At 35.5% G+C, this 10,737-nt stretch overlaps 2 annotated features.

Annotated features, from left to right (window-relative positions):
- Nucleotides 2,635-3,154: an enhancer, noted in NCBI's record as "OCT4-NANOG hESC enhancer chr19:27897397-27897916 (GRCh37/hg19 assembly coordinates)". NCBI's record gives its function as "activates a minimal SCP1, AML or CMV promoter by ChIP-STARR-seq in naive H9 embryonic stem cells {active_cell/tissue: H9 hESC(naive)}" and the evidence as "EXISTENCE:reporter gene assay evidence [ECO:0000049][PMID:30033119]".
- Nucleotides 5,191-6,172: an enhancer, noted in NCBI's record as "OCT4-NANOG hESC enhancer chr19:27894379-27895360 (GRCh37/hg19 assembly coordinates)". NCBI's record gives its function as "activates a minimal SCP1, AML or CMV promoter by ChIP-STARR-seq in primed H9 embryonic stem cells {active_cell/tissue: H9 hESC(primed)}" and the evidence as "EXISTENCE:reporter gene assay evidence [ECO:0000049][PMID:30033119]".

The raw sequence follows: 10,737 nt of genomic DNA, 5'->3' as shown, positions 1-10,737 counted from the left end.
CAGTTCTGAAACACTGTTTTGTAGAATCTGGAATTGGATATTTGGAGTGCTGTAGGTCCTATGGTGGAAAAGGAAATATCTTCATATAAAAAATAGACAGGAGCATTCTCAAAAACTTGTTTGTGATGTGTGCATTCATCTGACAGAGTTGAAACTTTCTTTTAATTGACCAGTTTTTAAACACTGCTTTTGTAGAATCTACAAGTGGATATTTGGAGCCTTTGAGGACTATGGAGGAAAAGCACATATCTTCACATAAAAACTAGACAGAAGCATTCTGAGAAACTGCTTTGTGCTGTGTGCATTCAACTCACAGCACTGAACCTTTCTTTTGATAGAGCGGTTTTGAAACATTCTTTTTGTAGAATTTCAAAGTTGATATTTGTGGCAATTCGAGGCCTATAGTGGAAAGGGAAGTATCTTCACATAAAAAGTAGACAGAGGCATTCTGAGAAACTTTTTTGTGATGTGTGCATTCATCTCACATTTTTGAACATTTCTTTTGACTGAGCAGTTTTGAAACACTGTTTTTGTAGAATCTGCAAGTGGATATTTGGAGTGCTTTGAGGCCTATGGTTGAAAAGGATATATCTTCACATAAAAACTAGACAGAAGCCTGCTGAGAAACTTCTGTGTGATGTGTGCATTCATCTCACAGAGTTGAACCTTTCTTTTTATTAAGCAGTTTTGAAACACTCTTTTTGTAGAATCGTCAAAGGGATATTGAGAGTGCTTTGAGGTTTATGGTGGAAAAGGAAATATCTTCACATAAAAACTAGACAGAAACATTCTGGGAAACTTCTTTGTGATATATGCGTTCAACTCACAGTGTTGAACCTTTCTTTTATTGAGCAGTTTGGAAACACTCTTTTTTTAGTATCTGCAATTGGATATTTGGAGCGCTTTGAAGCCTATAGCTGAAAAGAAAATATCTTCATATAAAAACAAGACAGAAGCATTCTGAGAAACTTCTTTGTGATGTGTGCGTTCATCTCATGGATTTGAACTTGTCTTTTGATTGAGCAGTTTTCAAACACACTTTTTGAAGAATCTGCAATGGGACACTTGAAGCGCTTTGAGGCCAATGGTGGAAATGGAAATATCTTCACATAAAAACTAGACAGAAGCATTTTGAGAAACTTTTTTGATGTGTGTATTGAACTCACAGCGTTCAACCTTTCTTTTCATTGAGCAGTTTTGAAACATTCTTTTTGTAGAATCTGAAGTTGGATATTTGGAGCAATTCCAGGCATATGGTTTAAAAGGAAATATCTTCACAGAAAAACCAGACAGAAGCATTCTCAGAATCTTCTTTGTGATGTGTGCATTCAACTCACAGAGTTGAAACTTTCTTTTGATTGAGCAGTTTGGAATCACTCTTTTTGTAGTATCTGCAAGTGGATATTTGCAGTGCTTTCAGGCCTGTAGTTGAAAAGGAAATATCTTCACATAAAACTAGACAGAAGCATTCTGAGAAAGTTATTTGTGTTGTGTGCATTCATCTCACAGAGTTGAACCCTTCTTTTGATTGAGCAGTTTTGAAACACTCTTTTTGTAGAATCTGCAAGTGGATATTTGGAGCACTTTTTGGCCTAGGGGGAAAAGGAAATATCTTCACATAAAAACAAGACAGAACCATTCTCAGAAACTTCGTTTTGATGTGTGCATTCAACTCACAGTGTTGAACCTTTCTTTTATTGAGCAGTTGGGAAACACTCTTTTTTTAGTATCTGCAAGTGGATATTTGGAGCACTTTGAATCCTATAGCTGAAAAGGAAATATCTTCATATAAAAACAAGACAGAAGCATTCTGAGAAACTTCTTTGTGATGTGTGCATTCATCTCATGGAGTTGAACCTTTTTTCTGATCAAGCAGTTTTGAAACAGTCTTTTTGTGGATTCTGCACGTGGACATTTGGAGTGCTTTGAGGCATACATTGGAAAAGGAAATATCTTCACATAAAAACTAGAGGAAACACTCTCAGAAACTTCTTTGTGATGTGTGCATTCAACTCACAGAGTTAAACCTTTCTCTTGACTGAACAGTTTAGAAACACTCTTTTTGTAGTGTCTGCAAATGGATATTTGGAACGCTTTCAGGCCTACGGCTGAAAAGGAAATATCTCCACATAAAAACTAGACAGAAGCATTCTGAGAAACTTCTTTGTGATACGTGTATTCATCTCAAAGAGTTGAACATTTCTTTTGATTGAGGAGTTTGGAAACACCCATTTTGTAGTATCTGCAAATGGATATTTGGAGCGCTTTGAAGCCTACAGTTGAAAAGGAAATATTTTCACATAAAAAGTAGACTGAAGAATTCTGAGAAACTTCTTTGTGATGTGTGCATTCAACTCACAGAGTTGAATCTTTCTTTTGATTGAGCAGTTTTGAAACTCTCTTTTTGTAGAATCAGCAAATGGATATTGAGAGTGCTTTGAGGTTTGCAGTGGAAAAGGAAATATCTTCACATAAAAACCACACAGACGCATTCTCAGAAAATTCTTTGTGATGTGTGCATTCAACTCAAAGAGTTAAACTTTTCTTTTGATATAGCAGTTTGGAAACACTCTTTTGGTAGTATCTGACAATGGATATTTGGAGCGCTTTGAGGCCTGCAGCTGAAAAGGAAATATCTTGGCATAAAAACTAGACAAAAGCATTGTGAGAAACTTCTTTCTGATGTGTGCATTCATCTCACAGAGTTGAACCTTTCTTTTGATTAAGCAGTTTTGAAACAATCTTTTGTAGCATCTCCAACTGGATATTTGGAGCGCTGTGAGTACTATGGTGGAAAAGGAAATATCTTCACATAAAAACTAGACAGAAGCATTCTCAGAAACACCTTTGTGATGTGTGCGTTCAATTCACAGAATTGAACCTTTCAGTTAATTGAGCAGTTTTGAAGCACTCTTTTTGTGGAATCTGCAAGTGGATATTTGGAGTGCTTTGAGGCCATTGGCAGAAAAGCAAATATCTTCATATAAATACTGGACAGAAGCATTCTCAGAAACTTCTTTGTGATTTATGCATTCAACTCACACAGTTGAAACTTTCTTTTGATTGAGCAGCTTAGAAACCCTCTTTTTGAAGTATCTGCAAATGGATATTGGTAGCCATTTGAGGCCTATAGTTGAAAAGGAAATGTCTTCACAAAAAATCTAGACAGAAGCATTCTGAGAAACTTATTTGTGATGTGTGCATTCATCTCACAAGTTGAATCTGTCGTTTGATTAAGCAGTTTTGAAACACTCTTTTTGCGGAATCTGCAAGTGGATATTTGGAGCGCTTTGAGGCTTATGGTGGAAAAGGAAATATCTTCACATAAAAACTAGACAGAAGCATTTGCAGAAACTACTTTTTGATGTGTGCATTCATTTCACAGAGTTGAAATTTTCTTTTGATTAAGCAGTTTGGGAACACTCTTTTTGTAGTATCTGCAAATGGATATTTGGAGTGCTTTGAGGCCTGTTGTTGAAAAGGAAATGTCTTCACATAAAAACTAGACAGAAGCTTTCTGAGAAACTTCTCTGTTATGTGTGCATTCATCTCACAGAATTGAACTTTTCTTTTGACTGAGCAGTTTTGAAAGACTGTTTTTGGAGAATCTGCAAGTGGATATTTGGAGCGCTTTGACGCCTAAAGCTGAAAAGCAAATATCGCCACATAAAAACTAGACAGAAGCATGCTGAGGAAGTTCTGTGTATTGTGTGCATTCATCTCACAGAGTTGAAACTTTATTTTCGTTGAGCAGTTTTGAAACACTCTCTTTGTAGAATCTGCAAGTGGATATTGGGAGCACTTTGAGGCCTATGGTGGATAAGGAAATATGTTCACATCAAAACTAGACAGAAGAATTCTCAGCAACTTCTTAGTGATGTGTGCATTCAACTCACAGAGTTGGACCTTTGCTTTATTGAGCAGTTTGGAAACACTCGTATTGTAGTATCCGCAAACACATATTTTGTACTTTTTGAAGCCTATAGCTGAAAAGGTAATATCTTCACATAAAAACTAGACAGAAGCATTCTGAGAAATTTCTGTGTGATTTATGAATTCATCTCACAGAGTTGAACCTTTTTTTTCATTGAGTAGTTTCGAAATACTCTTTTTGTAGAATCTGCAAGTGGATATTTGGTGCGCTTTGAGGTCTATGGTGGAAAAGGAAATATCTTCACATAAAAACTAGACAGAAGCATTCTCAGAAACTTCTTTGTGATGTGTACATTTTACTCACAGAATTGAACCTTTCTTTTGATTGAGCAGCTTGGAAACACTGTTTTTGTAGAATCTGCAAATGGATATTTGTATCACTTTGAGGTCTATAACTCGAAAAGAAATATCTTCACTTAAAAGGTAGACAGGAGCATTCTGAGAAACTTCTTTGTGATGTGTGCATTTTACTCACAGAAATGAACTTTTCTTTTGATTGAGCAGTTTGGAAACACTTTTTTTGTAGAATCTGCAAATGGATATTTGGATCAATTTGAGGTCTATATCTCAAAAAGAAATATCTTCACTTAAACAATAGACAAGAGCATTCTGAATAGCTTCTTTGTGATGTGTGCATTGATCTCACAGAGTTGAAAGTTTCTATTCATTGAGCAGTTTTCCAACACACTTTTTGTAGAAACTGCAAGTGGATATTTGGAGCACTTTGAGGCCTATGGTGGAAAAGGAAATATCTTCACATAAAAACTAGACAGAAATATTCTCAGAAACTTCTTTCTGATATGTGCATTCAAGCCACAGATTTGAAACTTTCTTTTGATTGAGCATTTTGGAAACAGTCTTTTTGTAGTACCTGCAAATGGATATTTGGACGATTTTGAGCCTACAGTGAAAAGGAAATATCTTCACATAAAAACTAGACAGAAGCATTCTCAGAAAGTTCTTTGTGATGTGTGCATTCAACTCACAGAGATGAACATTTCTTTTGATTGAGAAGTTTGGAAACACCCTTTCTGTAGCATCTGCAAGTGGATACTTGTAGTGCTTTGAGGCCTAAAGCTGAAAAGGAAATATCCTCAGATAAAAACTAGACTGAAGCATTCTGAGAAACTTCTTTGTGATGATGCATTTATTTCACAGAATTAAATGATTCTTTGGATTGAGTAGTTTGGAAACACTCTTTTAATAGTATCTTCAAATGGTATTTGTAGTGCTTTGAGGCATGTGGTTGAAAAGGAAATACCTTCACATAAAAACTAGACACAAGCATTCTCAGAAACTTCTTTGTGATTTGTGCATTCGTCTGATACTGTTGAACCTTTCTTTTGATTGAGCAGTTTTGAAACACTCTTTTGTAGAATCTGCAATCGGATATTTGGAGAGATTTTAGGCGTATGGTGCAAAATGAAATATCTTCACATAAAAAGCAGACAGAAGCATTCTCAGAAACTTCTTTCTGATGTGTGCATTCAAGTCACAGAGTTCAACCTGTGTTTTAATTGAGCAGTTTGGAAACACTCCTTTTGTAGTATCTGCAAATGGGTATTTGGAGTGCTATGAGGCCTATAGTTGAAAAAGAAATATCTTCACATAAAAAGTAGACAGTAGCATTCTGAGAAACTTCTTTGTGATGTGTCCATTCAACTGACAGAGTTGAACCTTTTTTTTGATTGAATAGTTTTGAAACACTCTTTTTGTAGAATCTGCAAGTGGATATTTGGAGTGCTTTGAGGCCTATAGTTGAAAAGGAACTATTTTCACATAAAAGCAAGACAGAAGCATTCTGAGAAACTACTTTGTGATGTGTGAATTTATCTCACAGAGTTGAATCTTTCTTTAGATACAGCAGTTTGGAACCACTCTTTTTGTAGAATCTATAAGTGGATATTTGGAGCACTTTGAGGCCTATCATGGAAATGGAAATATCTTCACATAAAAACTAGACAGAAACATTCTCAGAAACTTCATTGTGATGTGTGCATTCAACTCACAGAGTTGAACGTTTCTTTTGTTTGAGCAGTTTGGAAACACTTTTTTTGTAGTATATGTAAAGGGATATTTGGAGCACTGTTATGCCTATGGTGGAAAAGGTAATATCTTCACACAAAAAGTAGACAGAAGGATTCTCAGAAACTTCTTTGTAATGTGTGCTTTCATCTCACAGAGTTGAAACTTGCTTTTTGATTGAGCAGTTTTGAAACCCTCTTTTTGTAGAATTTGCAAGTGGATATTTGGAGCGCTTTGAGGTCTATGGTGGAAAAGGAAATATCTTCACAGTAAAACTAGACACAAGCATTCTGAGAAACTTATTTGTGATGTATGGGTTCATCTCACAGATGGGAACATTTCTTTTGATTGAGCAGTTTTCAACACTGTTTTTGGAGAATCTGCAAGTGGCTATTTGGAGAGCATTGAGACCTATAGTTGAAAAAGAAATATCTTCACATAAAAAGTGGACAGATGCATTCTGAGAAACTTACTTGTGATGTGTGCATTCATCTCACATAGTTGAACCTTTCTTCTCAGAGAGCAGATTTGAAACACTCTTTTTGTAGAATCTGCAAGGAGATATTTGGAGCACTTTCAGGCATATGGTGGAAAGGTAAATATCTTCACATAAAAACTAGACAGAAGCATTCTCAGAAACTTCCTTGTGATTTGTGCATTCAACTAACAGAGTTGAAGTTTCTTTTTATTTAGCAGTTTGGAAACACTGTTTTTGTAGTATCTGCAAATGGATATTTGGAGCGCTTATAGTCCTATAGCTGAAAAGGAAATATCTTCACATAAAAACTAGACAGAAGCATTCTGACAAACTTCTTTGTGATGTGTGTGTGCATTCATCTCACAGAGTTGAACCTTTCTTTTTATTGAGCAGTTTTGAAAAACTCCTTTTGTAGTATTTGCAAGTGCATATTTTGATGGCTTAGAAGCCTATGGTGGAAAAGGGAATATCTTCACATAAAAACTAGTCAGAAGTATTCTGAGAAACTTCTTTGTGATGTGGGCATTCAACTCAGAAAGCTGAATCTTTCTTTTGATTGAGTAGAATGGAAACACTCTTTTTGTTGTATCTGTAAATTGATATTTGGAGCACTTTGAGGCATGTAGCTGAAAAGGAAATTCCTTCACATAAAAATTAGACTGAAGCATTCTGAAAAATTTATTTGTGAAGCGTGCATTCATCTCAGAGTTGAAACCTTCTTTTGATTGAGCGGTTTTGAAACACTCTTTTTGTCTAATCTGCAAGTGGATATTTGGAGCACTTTGAGGCCTATGAAGTTAAAGGAAATATCTTCACATAAAAACTAGACAGAAGCATTCTCAGAAACTTTTTTGTGATATGTTCATTCAACTCACAGAGTTCAATGTCTCTTTTGATTGAGCAGTTTAGAAACACTCTTTTTGTAGCATCTGCAAATGGATATTTGGAGCACTTTGAGGCCTATAGTCGAAAAGGAAATTTCTTCACATAAATACTAGACAGAATTATTCTAAGAAACTTCTTTGTGATGTGTGCATTCATCTCACAGAGTTGAAATTTTCTTTTACTTGAACAATTTTGAAACACTCCTTTTTAGAATCTACAAGTGGATATTTGGAGTGCTTGGAGGCCTATGGTGGAAAAGGAAATATCTTCACATGAAAACTCGTCAGAAGCATTCTCAGAAACTTATTTGTGATGTATGCATTCAACTCATAGAATTGAACATTTCTTTTGATTGATCGGTTTGGAAGCACTCTTTTTGCAGTTAGTATCTGCAAATGGATATTCGGAGCGCTTTGAGGCCTATAGTTGAAAAGGAACTATTTTCACATAAAAGCAAGACAGAAGCATTCTGAGAAACTACTTTGTGATGTGTGAATTTATCTCACAGAGTTGAATCTTTCTTTAGATACAGCAGTTTGGAACCACTCTTTTTGTAGAATCTATAAGTGGATATTTGGAGCACTTTGAGGCCTGTCATGGAAATGGAAATATCTTCACATAAAAACTAGACAGAAACATTCTCAGAAACTTCATTGTGATGTGTGCATTCAACTCACAGAGTTGAACTTTTTTTGATTAAGCAGTTTGGAAACCATCTTTTTTTTTAGTATCTGCAAATGGATATTTGCAGCGCTTTAGGACTATAGCTCAAAAGGTAATTTCTTCACATGAACACTAGACAGAAATATTCTCAGAAACTTCTTTGTGATCTGTTCATTCATCTCACAGAGTTGAAACTTTCTTTTGATTGAGCAGTTTTGAAAAACTCTTTTTGTAGGATACACAAGAGGATATTTGGAGCGCTTTGAAACCAATGGTGGAAAAGGAAATATCTTCACATAAAAACTAGACAGAAACATTCTCAGAAACTTCTTTTTGATGCGTGCATTCACCTCAAAGAGTTCAACCTTTCTTTTGATTGAGCAGTTTGGAAACAATCTTTTATAGTATCTGCAAATGAATATTTGCATCGCTTTGAGGCCTATAGCTGAAAAGGAAATATCTTCACATAAAAACTAGACAGAAGCATTCTGGGAAACTACTTTGTGATGTGTGCATTCATCTCACAGAGTTGAACCTTTCTTTTGATGTAGCAGATTTGAATCACTCTTTTTGTAGGATCTGCAAGTGGATATTTGTAGCGCTTTGAGGCCTATGGTGGAAAAGGAAATATCTTCACATAAAAACTAGACAGAAGCATTCTGAGAAACTTCTTTGTGATGTGTGCATTGAAATCACAGAATTGAAACTTTCTTTTGATTGAGTGGTTTGGAAACACTCTTTTTGCAGTTAGTATCTGCAAATGGATATTTGGAGTGCTTTGAGGCCTATAGTTGAAAAGGAAATACCTTCACATAGAAACTAGACAGAAGAATTCTGAGAAACTAACTCTGATGTTTGCCTTAATCTCACAGAGTTGAGTCTTTCTTTTGATTAAGCAGTTTTGAAACACTCTTTTGCAGAATCTGCAAGTGTATATTTCGAGGGCTTTGAGACCCATGGTGGGAAAGGAAATATCTTCACATAAAAACAAGAAAGAAGCATTGTCAGAAACTTCTTTGTGATGCGTGCATTCAACTCACAGATTTGAGTATTTCTTTTGATTGAGCAGTTTGGAAACATTCTTTTTTTCTACTATCTGCAAATGGATATTTGGAGCGCTTTGGGGTCTATAGCTGAAAAGGAAATATCTTCACACAAAAACTAGACAGAAGCATTCTCAGAAACTTCTTTGGGATGTGTCCATTCAATGCAGACAGTTGAACCTTCCTTTTGATAGAGCAGTTTTGAAACACTCTTTTTGTAGTATCTGCAAGTGGATATTAGTAGCACTTTGAGGCTTATGATGGAAAAGGAAATATCTTCAAATAAAAACTAGACAGAAGCTTTCTCACAAACTGCTTTTTGATGGGTGCATTCAACTCACAGAGTTGAACTTTTCTTTTGATTGAGCAGTTTGAAAACACCCTTTATTTCTAGTATCTGCAAATGGATATTTGGAGCGCTTTGTGTCCTATAGCTGAAAAGTCAATATTTTCATATAAAAACTTGACAGAAGCATTCTCATTAAATTCTTTGTGATGTGTGCATTCATCTCACAGAGTTGAACTTTTCTTTTGATAGAGCAGCTTTGAAACACTCTTTTTGTAGAATCTGCAAGTGTATACTTCAAGTGGTTGAGGCCCATGGTGGGAAAGGAAATATCTTCACATAAAAACAAGACAGAAGCATTCTCAGAAACTTCTTTGTGATGCGTGCATTCAACTCACAGATCTGAACATTTCTTTTGATTGAGCAATTTGGAAACATTCTTTTTTTCTACTATCTGCAAATGGATATTTGGAGCACTTTGGGGTCTATAGCTGAAAAGGAAATATCTTCACATAAAAACTAGACAGAAGGATTCTCAGAAACTTCTTTGTGATGTGTGCATTCATCTCACAGAGTTGAACCTTTCTTTTGATTGACCAGTTTTGAAGCATGCTTTTTGTAGAATCTGCAAGTGGATATTTTGATTGCTTTGAGACCTATTGTGGAAAAGGAAATATGTTCACATAAAAAGTATACAGAAGCATTCTGAGAACCTTCTTTGTGGTGCGTGGATTCAACTCACAGAGTTGAGTCTTTCTTTTCGTTGAGCAGTTTGGAAACACTCTTTTTTGTAGTATCCGCCAATGGATATTTGGATTGCTTTGAGGCCTATATTTGAAAAGGAAATATCTTCACATAAAAACTTGACAGAAGCATTCTGAGAAACTTCTTTGTTGTGTGTGCATTCATCTCATAGAGTTGAGTCTTTCTTTTGATTGAGCAGTTTTGAAACACTCTTTTTGTAGAATCTGTAAGTGGATATTTGGAGAGTTTTGAGGCCTATGGTGGAAAAGGAAATATCTTCACATAAAAACTAGACAGAAGCATTCTCAGAAACTTATTTGTGATGTGTGCATTCATCTCACAGAGTTGAAATTTTCTGCTTATTGAGCAGCTTTGAAACACTCTTCTTGTAGAACTTGACAGTGGATATTTGGAGCACTTTGATGTCCATGGTGGAAATGGAAATATCTTCAGATAAAAACTAGACTGAAGGATTCTGAGAAACTTCTTTGTTATGTGTGCATTCAACTCACAGAGTTGAACCTTTCTTTTGATTGAGCAGTTTGGAAACACTCTTTTTTTCTTGTAACTGCAAATGGATATTTGGAGCCCTTTGAGGCCTATAGCTGAAAAGGAAATACCTTCACATAAAAACTAGACAGACGCATTCTCATTAACTTCTTTGTGATGTTTGAATTCAT

Source organism: Homo sapiens, chromosome 19, assembly GCF_000001405.40.
Source record: "Homo sapiens chromosome 19, GRCh38.p14 Primary Assembly".
In the NCBI taxonomy this organism is placed as follows: Eukaryota; Metazoa; Chordata; class Mammalia; order Primates; family Hominidae; genus Homo; species Homo sapiens.
The sequence above is the reverse complement of the archived record's forward strand: the minus strand, read 5'-3'. Positions and strand labels throughout refer to the sequence as shown.